At 35.7% G+C, this 17,872-nt stretch overlaps 1 long non-coding RNA gene across 2 annotated transcripts in view, besides 1 other annotated feature; it reads right to left on the bottom strand.

Annotated features, from left to right (window-relative positions):
* Positions 1–17,872, bottom strand: part of LOC105377979 (uncharacterized) — a 288,164-nt gene that overhangs the window by 230,444 nt on the left and 39,848 nt on the right. The gene's annotated exons all lie outside the window — the stretch shown is intronic.
* Positions 1,148–1,788: an enhancer, noted in NCBI's record as "OCT4-NANOG hESC enhancer chr6:122144457-122145097 (GRCh37/hg19 assembly coordinates)". NCBI's record gives its function as "activates a minimal SCP1, AML or CMV promoter by ChIP-STARR-seq in naive H9 embryonic stem cells {active_cell/tissue: H9 hESC(naive)}" and the evidence as "EXISTENCE:reporter gene assay evidence [ECO:0000049][PMID:30033119]".

Genomic DNA, 17,872 nt, shown 5'->3' with positions numbered 1-17,872 from the left:
AGTCACAGTATTTGGCATTTATAGCCATGATCTTAGTTATCAAAAAAAAAAAAAGTTAAAGTTCGCACATTGTTCTTTTAAGATGGCAAAGAAGTGTGAAAAATTTTTTCTCTAAAACTTAATTTCAAAAAAGTGTTAAAACTAGATTTTATTTGCCTGTAACATGGTTTTAGAAAGAGCAAATAATTTCTCCAGAAATCAGATAGATTTGTGAAATAAAGCTCTATATGGGAAAACAAGTTAGGCCATTCTCCAATGTCTGACACAACATTTACAGAAGAGAATCTCATCTGTCCTTCTTGAAGTATGTTTCTTATATTTTATACACTCAATAATGACATGATAAAGGTCTAAAACAGTAGATAACTATTATCATTTAGCACTTATACAATTACATAAAGAAAATAAGTGACTTATTATAAACCTGTAGATTTACCTGTAGAAATATAAATATGCCCTTAACATAGAAATTTAGGTAAGTAAGAGTGTCTGTGGTGGAAAAAGGATTGAAAATAAATAAAAAATAAACAAAGAAGTAACCAATGAGATTCTAAGATTATAATATCCAATTTAGCATTTTGGGCTATGAGTGAGAAAGAAAGTAAATCGTGGAGATCATTGTAACCTGTGATTTCAAAACACTGCTGGAGGATAAGTACTCAGTTTTTATTAATTTTTTACAAGTCTGTAGATAAATAAGATAAATGAGGACAATGTAGTCGTTTTTTAAATCTAAATTTATTTCATTTAAAAGGCTGGTATTATTCTGAGATTACACTGTTCTACTTTTGAGTATTCAAAATCCTTCCTTAATAAAATGATGAGGATAACAGTGGTAGAAGTTTGCATTTTAAAATGCTCTTATTTGGCACAATTTACAAAGGTTATCCATTCTATGTCAATTGCTTTTAATTTTACTAATCCACTAGTATCACAAGTCTGGGAGCTGCTGATTTAGCCTCACCTCCATTTTGCAGACAAAGAAATTGAGGCCCAGAGAAGTAAATATCTTCTTTAAGACCTCATCAGTGGCAGCACCCAGCCTAGGACCTTGCCATGGGTCATTTATCAATGGTCATTAATATAACATTTTGGAAGAATATAAGTAGCTTTATTTCCCATCCAGAATGTTGAACTAACTTTTTTCTAAAATAGATTATTAAAGAAGTTCCAATGTTTATTGGCTTACCAAAACTGTATAATGCATATCTGAACTTATTTAAATTTAAGCACAGAATCTATTGCAAAAATATTGCCTTTCTACTTGTGTTACTTAAGTGTTGAGTCACCTTTTCAGAAATAACCAAATCCATCAGGCCATAATAAATGATAGAAGCTAAGTGACAACACATCTGCTAGGCAGGACAAACATTCACATCTCAGGAGGACAAACATTCACATCCCAGGAGGGCAAGTGCTTGGAATTCTCAGCTGGATTTTAAGTGGTTCAGAAATGTTAGCAGAAGGTAGAAATTCCTTCTAGTATCTTTTGGCAGCCTATTGGAAGGGCGAGTAGCCAAGAATTTACTTTGAAAGATGTAATTGAGTCAGCCCCTATGGGTGATTCTTGTTAAGAGAGCTAATGGTAAAGATAAGCAGCATTTGTTTGGAGGTTGTGTAAATATCCCTGCTCTGAGATAAACAATTTGCATATCTGGAGAGAAGACAAAAGTCAGCCTCTCCGGGGTACCTGACACTGGCTTTTCCAGGCCTTCAGAAATAACAGAGTTGTTTTCTTAGCTGCTGGGAGGAATTATTTTAGGTAGATAGATTCTTAAATAAAATAAAAGGATGTAATTTGAAACCCTAGGCATCCTATACCTATGTTATTTCACTCTTTTCTAAAAATGAACATTTTTATAATTGTGTACATAATGTCTTTGAACCCTGAGCATCTGCCTGAAACAGCTGTTTGTGATTAAAATTAAACCAAAGCTTTCTACCAGTGAATAATTCACAGCAGATAAAAAGAAAAAAATCATGGGTGCTTTAGGGACTATGCAACTTTTAACTTTCTTCTCACTCAGATTATGTGCAAGAGACACTTGCTCATTTTATTTCCAGAAAGGGAAGGAGTTTAGTGTCAAAAGTTGGAAATTTTCTGAGACACAAGAAGTCTTTTCAGATATGGTGCTAAGACTTAAACCAGTTCACTAATTAAAAAAATTTTTTTTCAGTTATTGAACAACAAAAATATTAATGTGTGGTTGACTTCTTTGAAGAAGCATTTACTTATGCTAATCTCATTTGGGGAACTTATAGAAGCATTTATTATGCTAATCTCATTTTGGGAATTTATAATTCCTATGACTAATAGAAAGAAATCTACATGGCTAATTTTAAATGTATACTTTGTTTGATGGCTGGTTTTATGTGTCATCTTGGCTAGGCTAGAGTAGCCAGTTATTCAAACACTACTATAGGTGTTGCTGTGAAGGTATTTTCTTGATATGGTTAGCATCTGCAGTCAACTTGAAACCATGATTGCAAAATTGTAACTACACAGTGAAAAAAGATCTGAACTAACCCACTGCATCTTGCTTCTAACCTCCAAACTGTCCTTGTTCATTCCTGGGTGTAGGGTGAACTAACTTTGTTAGGAACTTAGTTTATAGTTTAAAACAAAAACAGTAACAGCCCTTTCCCAAAACAAATTTCCTTCTTGCCTGGGGACTAGACTGCTTTTGTAGGACTAATAAATTAGCCACAAGATTAGAAATTATGGTTTAGGAGTCATGCAGCTGGAGGCTACAGGATTCTGACCCTCTCTAAACTGCTCCTAAGCTGCTTGAGGTACGATGCAGACTCTGCACTTGATGGATCAGCTGACACCACCCAAATCAATACATTGGCTCATCTGATCTTGTGGCTCCCACCCAGAAACTCACTCAGCACAAGAAAACAGCTTTGACTCCCTATGATTTCATCTCTGACCTGACCAATCAGCACTCCCAGACACACTCCCATCCACCAAATTTTCCCATCCCAGACTCACTCCCATCCACCAAATTATCCCAGACTCACTCCCATCCACCAAATTATCTTTACAAACTCATGGAATGCTCGGGGAGACTGATTTGAGTAATAATAAAACTCCAGTCTCCTGCACAGCCGGCTCTGCATGAATTACTCTTTCTCTATCGCAATTCCCCTGTCTTGATAAATTTGGCTCTGTCTGGGCAGCGGGCAAGGTGAACGCACTGGGCAGTTACAGGCTAAGTAAAGAAGACTCTTCTCCATAAAGTAGGTGGGCCTGTCCCATCTGTTGAAAAGTCTGAAAAATAAACACTAAGGTTTCCCTGAAAAAGAAGAAATTCTACCTAAAGCATGCAACATCAACTTCTTACCAACAGTTTCCAGCCTGCAGGCCTGCCCTATAGATTTCAAACATGCTATCCTCCCAAAAACCACGAGCCAATTTACTTAAAAAAATCTATTTATCTATCATCTATCTATCTGTGTTTTTTACTCATTCAGTTTCTTTGGAGAATTCTGACTCATATATCTTCTAAATAATAACATTTTTTTCTACGAATAATTTCAAAATGTTTGTGAAATGGTTATCAATTTTCATCATAAATAATCAATTGCTGTAAGTTAAAACCCTCTTAGTTGCTTGTCCCATCAACATATTTTTTATTTCTATTCAACTTCTCATTGATTACCTCATATTCAGATATATTTTTAAATGATTAGTTATACTAAGAAGTCAAAGATAAAAAACTGAAGCAATCCTTTTATATTTGCTTTCCAAAGAAGAGATTATTCCTACTTAGGGACTATTCCTACTTAGTAGAGGGGAAAAGGCAAGCATGTATTAAGCTCTTAAAACTATTACTAATCAATAATAAAAATATTCAAAGAATTTTCCTTTGCCTAATCCTCAGCTAGCCATTTAAAAAATGAAGAAAGGGAAGAGGGAAAAATATGTGGAGAGAGGGAGAAAATGAGAGAGAGAGAGAGAGACAGAGAGACAGATTCAGAGTATGTGTATGTGTGAAAATAACAATAAATAGTTTCCTAAAACAGCAACAGAATACTATCTAATATGGGGACTTGGGGGAAAAAATGTGGACATTTTACCAGCTATTGGAGTTATTTCATCATTGAGAATTTGACCTAGGAAAAAAGGTTAATAATGGCACATGCTCATCTAGTTTGGATTGCTAAATATAAAAACTGTGGTCCCTGCACCTCAGTGAGTTCACAGAGAGAAACACTATGACACCAAATCACAGTAGCAAGATCACTATTTATTTACATTTGTCTTTAACTTCATACATCTCTTCTGCTACTTCTATGCCTGAAGGATTATGCAAAAAAAGAAATAAATGACAAATTTTATGACAGCAAATAGCTTAAATATTAGAATAACATTTGATCCTTACTTATTGTGCATAACACAATATTGCAAAACTTAGTAACTGTTAGAAACAAATGCTTGTTCCTCAGTGCCAAAAAGAAGAACTAGCGCTCAGACAAAAAATTTTCTCAGCAAGGCAATTTTACTTCTATAGAAGGATGTGACTCATGGATGGAGCAATAGCGAGAGCACAGCTGAACAAGGGAGAGGAAGGGGTTCTTATTCCTGATACAGGTACCCCCTACTGCTGTGTCATTCCCCTGCTGGCTAGGGTTGGACCACACAGTCTAAGCTAATTCTGATTGGCTGTTTTAAAGAGAGCAGTGGTATAAGCCAGAATGGCAGGGTGAGCAGTTTGATGGGAAAAATCATTACCGAATAGGTAACTAAAGGTGTCTTAGGTCAGAGCAGGTGACCAGGGATGATTCAGGTCAAAGCAGGTGACCAGGATAAGTCAGAATGGAGCAGGAGACCAGGAGAATGATGTGAACTACTGATTAAAACTGGTGGAAAAGGTTGTTTACTGAAACTATAAGGAAGTTAAACTTTAAAATGGAGGACAAAGAACTGAACATACTGACATACTGATTATTTGAAGAGAAATCTAGAACTCACTGTATCCAACATAACTTTAAAACTATACATTATTATCTTATAGTTTTTCAGGAAAATGAGAGCAGCTGAATTAGGTATTTCTAGCTCAAGACCTTCCTTGCATGAGTTGCAGTCAAGGTGTCAGCCTGGGCTACAGTTATCTGAAAGCTTGACTGGGGCTGCAAGATCCTCTTCCAAGATGGCTTTCTCACGTAAATGTTGACAAGAAGCCTTAGTTCCTCATTACATGAACCTCTCCCTATGGCTTCTCCAATGTCCTCCTAACATGGGAAGTGGTCTCCTCCTGAACATGGGATTCAAGAGGCAAGGAAGAAGTTCCAATGTCTTTTATGATCTAGCCTCAGAAGTCTCTGTCATTTTCACAGTGACCAATTCATTATCCAATTTAGCCCTATCTACTATGGAAGGATAATACTAAGGCCATGAATATCAGAAGGGAAGCATATTTGTGATCTATCTCAGAGGCTGGCTACCACAATCATTAAATAAGATGGACAAAAAGCACATTAAAAATCAACAAATGCATATTAATAGAGCTCAAAGTGAGTATGTCAATTTTGAAATAATAAACAGCATAATCAGAATAAGAGAGAATTTATCATGGGATTTTCTTTTTAAGGAGGTGAGAAGTTTTCAGTTGAGTTTAGAAAAAAATGAGAGACTGGAATTTTGATAGAGAATAATTAAGAAGAGTGGACATTTCAGATAAATATACATGTCTATCTTCATAGGCTACTGAAGGGTAAGGATTATGTCTGAGAGAGTCTGATCACTTAGCATTTAAATCAGAGTTACAGACTTTTATTTGTAGGTGATTTTAAAGCAACATTATAACAGTGAGTAAAACATATCCAAAGGACCCTTTTACTATAAAGGTAGGGATCTGAAACATTACCGTGAAAAATTGAAAAATGTCCAAATTTTTTTTAGAATAGGTGCTGTATTAGTCTGTTTTCATGCTGCTGAAGACACACCTGAGACTGGGAAGAAAAAGAGGTTTAATTGGACTTACAGTTCCACATGGCTGGGGAGGCCTCAGAATCATGATGGGAGGTGAAAGGCAGGGCAAGAGAAAATGAGGAAGATGCAAAAGTGGAAACCCCTGATAAAATCATCAGATCTCGTGAGGCTTATTCACTACCATGAGAAGAGTATGGGGGAAACCACCCCCATGATTCAAATTATCTCCTACCGGGTCCCTCCCACAACACATGGAAATTATAGGAATACAATTCAAGATGAGATTTGGGTGGGGACACAGAGCCAAACCATGTCAGGTGCTTTCTTACATATGTAAATAATCATAAGCAACTGTAATAACTAACATAAATGTAATAAAATGTGCTTAGTAAAATGCATAGTTTTTTACAGATATAAAGATGTTTGTTAATATCATAAACTCATATACAGACACAAAATATATTCTTTAAAAGTTTCTCTGTACCTTAGCTTCTCAACATGTCAAATTAACTAAAAATTTGTGAATCAGCTTATTGAGTAAAAAATCAGATTACTAACAGACTGCCAACACAAACAATTTAAATTGTCGAACTTGCCTGATGCTGATTAAATCATGCTGAGCAACGCCACAATTATAATTTGGCACTCTATTTGCTGTTCAGTAAACATAAATATTCTGTCCTGTTGATAGTTTTATTTTTTCATTATAAGTTAGTCACTGGACATTCTTTATAAACCCACTTCTAGTAAGTTTATTGTATGTCATTTCATAAGAATTGATTCATTATCTTAAAGTATAATGACAAAAAAAGTGTAATGATCTCGAAAACTGGAGGACCAATTTCTAGAATATAATGACCACTTTAAAGCTTCCTCCTTTGCCAAAATTCCATCTGAGTGACCATTGACCTCTCAAGACCTAATGGTAACAAGTCCTAATTATTTTCTCTTTATACTTTGACTAAAATGAATACTATATCTAGTAAGGATCAAAGTTGGCAGAAGGAAGAAAACAAAAACTTCTATTAGAGAGGTAAGACAAGAAAACCTTTCCTCTTCCACTGAAAAAACTTGATATTATATTTTCTTTAAGGATCAATGAAGTTTTACCTAAATTTTTATATTTTGCATGGCATATCAGGAAGAATAAGATGAAGAATTATGACACATGGATTCAGGTTCTTGCTCTGAGACTATTTATGTGGCATTAGAATATTGCCCCAATTTTTTACATCTCAGATTCTTCTACTTTAAGAACTGGTGCTTTGGTTAGATTATCTCTAAAATTTCTTTTGCTAAAAAACTCCTTGATGTTTCTTCAGATGACTAACCAAATTCTTCAAGAAAATAAGATAGTGTTAAATTAGTCCAGTAAAAACAAAGGAAGATAAAATACAGCAATATTATTTCCATGAGAAAAAAATAAAAATTTTAGCTATTATTGCAAATTTAATTAGTATGCATTAAAGCATTCCATAAGTATTATCGAGCCTCCTAATTTATGCCATCCATACAGAGATTACAGAAAAGAACAGAATTAAGTTGAGGCCAGAATCCCAGTAGCTAAAATGTAGGCCAACAGTCTAAAATGTTGCCAGATTGTCCAGACACACTACAGGGAAATAAGCCAGTTATCTTTAGTTTTTAAAGTACACCTTGCCCATCTCTGCTAATGGATTCAAAACTCTAGGGTAGCTCCTGGACATCTGTACAGACTAAAAGGCTCCTGCAAAGTCTGGGTCACCTTAATCCTTTAAAAAGTCACTATGTGCTTCTTTCTTATCTGAAAAATCTTAGTTATGCTTTCAAGATGGTTTTCTGGTAGATGTTATAAGATAATACCTCCTCTCACCCTCCCCTGCCTATTTCATAAGCCTATGTATGTGATAAACAGCAAGCATTTTGAAATCATCTGAGGTCTTTATAAACAAACTTGCTGGCCTCAGACCTCAGATAACAATGTGTGTTGTTCATGTGTGAACAATCACTAAATGACTTTTGAAAACTGGGAAATGTGCAGAAAAAAATTTTCCTCAGTTTTAAAATACACCTCATTTAGGAAAAATAATTGTTTGTGTAATTCCTTTGATGTTTAGTAATTAAAATTACATTTTCCTTTCACAAATAGTTTTATCCTCTTGAAATAGTGCTTAAATTGCTGTGTTTTATGGAAAACATATGATGCTTGATTTTTCCTTGAAGGAAAAAACCTGGAAAAAAAACTCCAGAAAACAAATATACCATAGAAGAAAAAGCATCAAGCTCAGGTTTGGGCTCCCAGGTTTTCACACTCACTTGCATGAAAAAGTCTGGATCTTTTGTTCCCTCAGCTCTAAAATGAACAATTAGAATCTAATTTCCCTTCAGGCTTAAAAAACTAGGAATATATGTTTTTTCATCATGTATGTTATGAACAGAATTATGTGCCCCCCCAAAATTTACATGTTGAAGCTCTAACCCCCAGCACCCCAGAATGTGGCTGTATTTGGACACAGGGCCTTTAAGATGTGACTAAGTAAAATGAGGCCATTAGTGTGGGCTCCAATCCAATCTGACTGGTGTCCTTGGAGAAACAGAGACGTCAGGGATGTGAACACAGAGAAAAAAACGTGTGAAGACACAGCAAGAGGGCATCTTGTGCAAGCAAAGAGAGGCCTCTGAAGATGCCAAGGCTGCTGACATCTTGATCTTGGACTTCGTCTTAGTTTGGGTGCCATAACAGAATACCAAAGACTGGGTGGCTTAAACAACAAACATTTCTTTCTTTCTTTTTTTTTTTCTTACTCTGTCGCCAGGCTGGAGTGCAATGGTGTGATCTCAGCTCACTGCAACCTCCGCCTCCTGGGTTCCAGCAATTCTCCTGCCTCAGTATTCGGAGTAGCTAGGACTACAAGCACGCGGCACCACGCCCGGCTAATTTTTGTATTTTTAGTACAGACAGGGTTTCACCACGTTGGCCATGATGGTCTCGATCTCTTGACCTCGTGATCCATCTGCCTCAGCTTCCCAAAGTGCTGGGATTAGCACAGTCAGGTTCTTGGTGAGGGCTCCCTCTTCCCAGTTATGCCCTCACATGACCATCCTTGGTGTTTGCACAGCGGGAGACATCACGTGTCTCCTCCTCACCTTATAAATGCACTAATCCCATCATGAGGGCCCTACTCTACTGACCTAAGATAACCCTAAACACCTCTCAAAGGGGCACCTCCAAATACATTAGGGGTTACATTTCAACATATGAATTTTGGGGAAACACATTCAGTCCCTAGCAGATTCTAGCCTCCAGAATGGTGAGAAAATAAGTTTTTGCTGTTTAGGCCACTCAGTCTTGTTATGGCAGCCCTAGTACAATAATACGATGTACAGCAGTATTAATCATTAGTTTCCTTTTGTTGTTTTCAAACAAAAGAGAAGGGTAACTTTCAAGTTTAGATATACAACCCAAATTAGAAAAAATGTTCATGTATGAGCTAAAATTTATACTTACAAAACAAAAATATTATACCTCACTATTCACATCCTGTTCTGCTGTTTTAACCTTTAAACAAATATGAAAACTCCAGGTTGTCACATACAACTAGGGTTGGTAAATGTTTTTCATAAAGGACCAGACAAGGGTATCCGTTATCTTAAATGTTTTGAACCAGAAGTGTTTTGGATTTTGATTTTTTTTGGATTTTTGGAATATTTGCAATCTATACTGGTTCAGCATTCCTAATCTAAAAATCTGAAATTCAAAATGGTCCAATGAGCATTTCCTTTGAGCATCATGTCAGCATTTAAAAAGTTTTGAATTTTGGAGTACTTCAGATTTTGGATTTTCAAATTAGGGATACTCAACCTGTAATAAATATTTTGGCTTTATAGGCCATATGATCTCTTGTAAATACTCAATTTTGCTGTTGCAGCAATGCATGAACAAATGAGTATGACTATGTTCTAATAAAACTTTATTTTAGACACTAACATTTGAATTTCATGTAATTTCACGTTATAAAATATTTTTTGAATTTTTTTCAAATATCAAAAAATGTAAACATCACTCTTAGCATGCCAGTTATAGCCCATGGACCATAGTTTGCTAACCCAGAATAGTATAATAAAATGAAACAATCCACTTTCTGTTTCTTCCTTATTACATCACAGTTATTAATGTTTATTTTATTTGTTTATTTTTTAATTTTTTTAGACAGGGTTTTTTCTGTTGCCCAGGCTGGAGTGCGGTGGCATAATCATAGCTTATTGCAGGCTCAACCTCCGGGACTCAAGCAATCCTCCCACCTCAGCCTCCTGAGTAGCTGGGACCACAGGCATGCCCACCATGCCCAGCTAATTTTTTTATTTTTTGGAGAGATGGTGTTCTCCCTATGTTGCCCAGGCTGGTCTCAAGCAATCCTCCTGCCTCAGCCTCCCAAAGTACTGGGATTACAGGTGTAGGCTACTGCCTAAACCTAAAAATACATAGTACCACAGGGGTTTGAGACAGGAACTAGGCAGAAGCAAGCTCAAACCATTTCTTACTGTCAAGAATTTACTCTAGAAATTAAACCCTGTAGCAAAGTCTGCATGTTTCAGGGCCACTGAATAGTTGGGAGCTCTCTGAATTAATGTGCATGTAGAATATAGCATTTATTAAAAGATAAGTAATAAAATATGCTAATTGTAAGTTTATATACATTATTAAAACTCATCACTAACCACAACAACTATTTAGAATTTAAGCCAGAGTTCCACCAACTACAGCCCACAAGCTAAATCCAGTCTGCTGCCCATGGCTACTATCTATCCCTTTACAGAAAAACTTGCTAATTTTTAACTTAAATTAACCAAAGATTTTTTTCAGGCGAGGGTATTTTAACACTGATATTGTACAGAATTGCTGGTGTTGGGGAATAATAAAGAACACAACCATAGATAATATGCACACTTATTGCCTGTACCTAGGGTAAACTGTTCCCACTTCCCTGTCCTTGGTATGTCAATCGGGTGTAATAATATTTTGACAGTAGAAACCTAGGGCTCAGACTCTGTAAATATTTGGAGTTGTACAACCCCTCATACAACATATTGATTGGGCCTTAGATTCTACTTGACTGTTCCTACATAACTATTTGAATATATAACTATAAATAGTAGTAGAAGAGCCTTCTAGGATAAAAGAATTTAGAAGGCATCATGCCTTCTCTTTGAGGTTCAAAATGACTAAAACAAATGTATACTATTTCTGCTTTATCTACCATTGATCAGGCAGTGCCTTAAATGCAGAAACATTTGCATTCTATACATATTTATAGTGATACTAGGGAAGCTCCAACCAAGGAGAGATATAAGTAAAAGATAATGTCGGTTCTGGCCAATTTAGGTGTTATGTATTCCCAACCCCACTCAGCCATCTTGGAATCATGGATGGCCTTGGTGGGAAATGGCTATGTGAGTGAATCTAAAGGCCCACACCACTAGATTTGTAAACCTTGGAGCCCAAGAGTGTGTGTGTGTGTGTGTGTGTGTGTGTGTGTGTGTGTGCTCATGCGCATGCATGCATGCCATAGCCTGGCACATTTTGCATCTGGAAGTTATTGTAAATCTTTACTGGCAGCCAGTAGCAAAGATGAATAACGTAAGCTCAACACCATCAGTAAAGGGAATCTTTCTTACTAATAGGTTACCTTAATGGCTATGTAGGTTTTGTTAATGATACTGTCAATAGAAGACATACATCATTCAACTTCTATTTTTTACTTTTGATTATATTCTTGTCTAATAATTGGCTTGCTTTTAAAATTTTCTACAATAGGCAATAGGCCTAAAGAGTCAACCTTTTTAGTTTTTTTTGCTTTGTTTACCTTGTAGGTTTATTTCTGACATTGCTTTAGTCTGACTGAAATGTTATAATCATTGAGCTGTGTCAATATCTTTTGGTAAAAAGAGTTGTTTTTTTTTTAAATTTTAGATTCAAGATATTAGTTTCATAGATCTTCTTGGATGGGATTTTTCAGTGATCACTGAACACTGCCAGGTGATAGAGAATGATTGGTTAAAATAAACTAAGTTGTGGGGCTTCTGCCTTTTCAAAAATACAGGGGTGCTTTCCAATAAAAGCAGAGTTCAAGTAGAGAAATCTCAATTTTTAAAAAACTGAGAATTTTTTAATCTACTACTAGTAATAATTAGGGTTGCTAACATCCATGCAACGCGTTAATAGGGTTTGTTTTTAAATCTCACAACAACCCATGTGAGTATTATTATCCCCATTTTACAACTGAGGCATTAATGTTTAGAAAGGTTAAGTGACTTGCCTAAAGTGACAATAATGTGTGGCCACACATCATTAACAGAGGATTCCTTTAAATGTCAGTTTCCTCTAGGATAAGTAAACTACTTTTCTAGCACCATGAGTCAGGAGAGCACCTTGGAAAAGCTATGCTTCAAAAATGTACACAAAGATAGCAAAGAGATAACTGCAGAACGGAAAAAAAGGGTATTGGAGAGACTTCAGGAATCTTTTGGACTGAAAGGAAGTAGAGGCCACTTCGAGAGGGACTGGAATAGAAGAAATAGGGGAGCTGGCTAGAACCAGGGTGACATGTCACTCTGCCACTCTCTCTGGGGATTTTCATTTGTGTTTGACTATATGAGTATAGCTCATCTTCTCCTTGGTCTGCAGCCTGGCTGCTTTTTCAGCTTCTCCTTGTTCACTGCCCACCCATACCTGCCCCTGCAGGGACTTGTATTTAAAGTGCCTATGGGGACTTTGGAGACTGGCCCTGACTTTAAATGGCCACAGAAAAAAAATGAGGTAGAAGAGGGAGGAAAGCCAGGAAAAGAAATTGTGGAAGGAAAGTTTAGGCAATTGGAAAAAAAAAATAAGACCAGGTAACAAAATGGAAAGCAAGGAAAAGGTCTTCAACAGTGACAAATACTTTCAGAGAGAGCATTTCTCACTCAAAATCAAGAGAAAACAAATGAATTTTTTTGATAAAGCATAATTGAACCTAGAACTATATGTTGTTTTTTTTTGCTTTTCATCTCTGTAACAAAACTTTAAATTCTGCTTGAATTTATTGATACTGGAAGATTCTTTCACAATCTTTTCTCCTTTCTTTTCTCTCTTCTTTTAGTAGTTCTTGCCCAATGCAGTTGGAAAAGTAGAGCCAGGTGTCTCCTTTATCAAGAATAAATGTTTCCAAGTAAACTTGTAAATTAGAATGTAAGCTCTATTTAGCACAGAGTTTTATTTTATGCTCTATCATCTTTATTGGTTTTACCTTTCCAATTTTGAGACTAAAAAGTACAACCCGAACAGCTCCTTATTTTTGTAATAAAAATGTGCTGCATTCCTGTCCATACAACAAAGAACTAAACGCCACATTAATCTAAGGGAGATCTTCTACCATATAGTATCTTGAAATGTGCTGCTATATATTTTAGTTCTTCTCTGTCTCAGGTAGGGAATCTTCAGTTTGCTCCTGCTGTTGTTTTCGTGTTGCTTTTTTGTTTTGTTTTTCACACTAAGGTTTTATTTAAAAAACAAATACAAAACTTTGTTCATGATACGTATCCTTTTTTAACCTTTTAAAAATGCTCTTAAACCTTTTTTAACCTTTAAAAAAAAGCTTCAGATTATCAGCATTCCATAAGCACAAATAAAGACGTGAGTGGTGTGATGAAAATAGGCCTTAGGTTATGTTATAAGAAACTGGATTTAAAAAACAGAAAAAAAAGCTGAACTCAAGCCTTCAACAGCTCTGATTTAATTTCCTGTGGAGTAAATCCATTCTCAGACACCTGTGGATAAGTTTGTTATTTAGCACTTCACTGAGTCCCTTTTTGAACTTTACAAAGAAACAAACTTCGGGTCACAGGGTCCCAGGGCTTTGTGGACCATCCCCTGACACACCGCTCTGACCCTTTAATACATGGTCATTGCATTTCACCCTTGATCACTGGCTAGGAATTAACCATGCACAGAGAATTGCTTTTGTTAATTTTGGTCATACCCTACATTCCTGGTAAAAACTAAAGAAGGATTACTGGAGAGGGACGATGAAAAAGAAAATGAATTAGCAATTTGGTTTTTAATTCTGTGTTTCTATATGAGGTATATATTTTGTCTCTCAAATATCATAATTTTTTTTTCAGAATTTCTGCCTTTCTAGCCATTATTAAAGGTTAATTTTTTTTCTTTTAAAAACAGTGATACATATTCATGCTAGTTTAAAAAAAAAAATTCTCAAAGTAACTACAGCGGGAATGTAGTAAGGTCACCAGAAGAAATGTCCTGGGTCCATTGGCCCAATCTCTTACTGCTGGATGATGCGTGTGAAGAAACCAGAGAGGTAAGACTCTTCCAGAGCCATGTAGTTAGTTGATAGCCACGCCGAGACTTGAACTGAAATCCCTGGACTCATGGTGAACTTTTTCACGACAACTTGCAACCTCTGGGTAGAGTGAATGATGCATCCTTGTCTGTCTGGGACTTCCCAGTGATTTTTATAATGCACCTCAAACTTTAACAGTTAGGGATATCATTAATGAAAACGTGGAGATGATTTTACAGTCAGTGCTCCCTGTCAGGAATATTCTAAACTGCTGATGGCTGGTTGACAGCCAAATTCTGGAATGCGCCTTGGGTTGTCATGACAGATCTGCTGAGTGACCTCCAAGAGCTGCACAGCAGAAGATTATCATATTGACTAAATGTGCTTTCCTAAGTCCAGAAGCTTTTATTTTCTCTCTTGTGAAGTAGATTCTCACTTCAAAATAGTCCTTTATTTAGAAAAAGTTACTGTAGAATAGTAATAGAGAATGAGTCACTCTAAGAATTTACTTTGTAGAGCATCTTCCAGATTACATTTTTACATATTATGACAGTGCCTAAAATATTTATTCTAAATGTTTTCTTTCTGACTACTTAAAAAAAAAAAGCACATAATAGGTATACTTTCTAATGATAGGCTAGTTTAACATTCCAGTAAAAATTCTGGTCAATTTAGTAAACCTTGAAATTTGCAAAATGTCAATCATTTTTCTAAATTTTTCAAAGTATGCAGGAAAGTTCCTAATCTCAAAAGTTTACTTTTTCTGCTCAATTATGCTGAGAAAAGAAATTGTCTATAAATTTAGATGTAATACAATTTCATTTCACTTTAGTTCTTAATATTAAGCTTTGTGATACCTAAGGGAAGATATCAAATAATTTTAAACATGTGAATGAATTTAAATGTCTCTTGAGCTTATTATGAGAATAACTACCACCCAAAAGATAAAATTATTTCAATTCATTAACAAAACGGTGGCATATAATTCCAAAAGTATTATTACCAACATATATTTATAAAGTTTTATCAATATTACAATCTATTACATTTCACTGAAGGAAAACTTTGTTGAAAATTTAATTTTGTATCAATACATTTATAGCCCAATTTACAATGAGTTATTTGGTTATATTAAATAAACCAGTCAAAATTATTTCAGGGTGAATAAGCTGAAGTACTATGACTTTTAAAATATTCAGTAATGGTATTTTTCTTCTCAACTCTGAGTTCTCTGTAATTCAGGATATAGTTAGTAAAATTCTTCTTAATAGTCTTTAGACCACGTTAAATTGCCAAAGTGTAGAAAAATACCTGTTTCTGAAAATCTGTGCTTTTGATGTTTTTTATTTGAGAGAATAATATTTCTTCACAGGAAGCTAGGGTTACATCAGAAGCAGGAGACTTGTCAGAGACCTTTTACCCACTGAACTTTCCCTTTGCTTTGACTCTTATTACTATTAAAAATGCATTGTGCTGGTGACAGGATTTACAGATTCAAGCAAAAGGGAAGAGCATATTTTTCCTTAGTAAGTTGTGGTACTACGAGTGGCTGATTCTTGGCCAGGGCACCTATGCAAGCCCATATCTTGAAAGCGGCTGTGTCCAGTAGTAGGGCAGGGGCTAATGGGGCCAGAAAACACACTTGACTCCCAGCCTTAGTAGGCACCTCCTGATATCCTGAGTCAGTAGATGCAGTTTAAAAGACCAACATGAGCAAAGGAAAAAGGAGAGGCCCTAGACAAATGGCCAAAGAGTAACAATTGCACTCTTTTAGTGTTGCAGTCAGCTCCCATGTATTCACTTTTCTCCTCTACAACTTTCTCTTTGCGGTAACTCTCTTACTGAGACAACCAGGTCAGACGGGGTCCCCAGAAAAACTCCCAGTGTCGGTGGGCATGTGCACCATTTGTGGAGCGGGGAGGAGCCTGGCCCCTCCTCTTCCTGTGTGGAACCTGGGATTGAAGCTGTGAGTGGGAAGTGCTCTAGCAGGGAACTCTGGCCTTGCCAGAGTCCTGTTTCCCCATTTTTTTCCTTTTCACCCAATAAAACCCTGTCTTACTCACCATTCAAATGTCTGTGAGCCTGAATTTTCATGGCCATGGGACAAAGAACCCTGTCTTTAGCTGAACTAAGGAAAAGTACAACATTATTATCTTCCTTTCTTAGCAGGTAACTAATTAAGGTATTCATTGATATCAGTGTATAGTGTTCAATTAATATCTCATGTTATCTATTTTGTGATGCAAAATTCACTTACATTTCACTTTCTGGATTCCCTCCATCAAACATACATGCACGCACACACATACCCAAGTAAAAAGGAGAGTATTTAGGATTGGAAGACTGCTCTCTGCTCTACAAATTACAGTATGTAAGGAGTGACACTTGTTCTTGGTGTCTGGCCTCCATAGGAAGCCTTTCCTCTCTATTGCCATACAACCCATGCCTGATTCATCTGGTTCTTTCCTTCTCTTTAATGAAATAATAGTAAAAGTTGTGTGTTCATGTAGTAATACAAAATCATTTCCTTGAGGTTAAAGTTTTCACAGATTTTACATTATAAATGTGTTTTATGTTTTTAAAAATAAAGGTCAGCCTAGAGTTTCTTGTTTTTGTAGGCATTAACATATTTTGAAAGCTAGAAAATAACAAAAATATGATTTTTTGTTGTCTTTTTTTTTTTTAAACAAGGTCTCACTTTGTCCACTCTGTTGGCTGGAGTGCAGTGGTATGATCATGGTTCACTGCAGCCTCAACCTCCATGTCTCAAGTGATCCTCCCACCTCAGCCTTCCAAGCAGCTCTGACTACAGGTTCCTGCCGTCATGTCTGGCTAATCTTTTGTTTTAATTTTCCTTTAATATAAACCGGACATGAATTTTCATAACAGTTTTTCAGTCAAATACAATGCATCCCTAGAATAGCAACAAAAAAGATTTTAAAAGCAATTATCTTTTAAAAATATAAATACCTCTGTAAACTAAGTCTAGTGTAACAGTTATCAAATGTTTTGGTTTCAGAACTCTTTTACATTCAAAAATTATTGAGAATGCCCAAGAGCTTTTGTTTATATGGTTTATTTTTACTGTTATTTACTATATTAGAAATTAAAACAGATTTTTAAAATATTCATTAATACATTAAAAACAATAAAATCACATGGGTGATTTTACAGACATGATTTTCAGTTACTATAAACAGCAATTTTATCACAAATAACTGTGTTTTTCAAAAAATAGTGAAAAAAGTTTCATTTACATTTTTTATTGTGAAACATTTTGTAAAGTCTGGCTTCATGTACGATAATGGACCCTCATATTGGTTTCTGCATTGTTATCTATTGCATTGCAATGTTTTAGATGAAGTAAATGAAGAAAATCTAGCTTCACACAGATATGTAGTTGGAATGGGGAAGAGCAGTCTTTTTGGATGATTGTAAATATTCTTCTTTGATACTACACTAAAATTCAACAACCTATAGGTTCTTAAAGATTAGTTGCAATGTGGGATCTGAAACCTTGTCAGTGAACTTTTGACATTCTGTTATAATCTATTGGTCTATATTTCACTTTGAATGAATCCTTTGCCTATGCATGGTTTTGTAACATTGTTCACTA

The sequence above is a fragment of the Homo sapiens genome, chromosome 6, assembly GCF_000001405.40.
Source record: "Homo sapiens chromosome 6, GRCh38.p14 Primary Assembly".
NCBI classification, from domain to species: Eukaryota; Metazoa; Chordata; class Mammalia; order Primates; family Hominidae; genus Homo; species Homo sapiens.
Note: the sequence above shows the minus strand (reverse complement) of the source record. Positions and strands in the feature narration are given on the sequence as shown.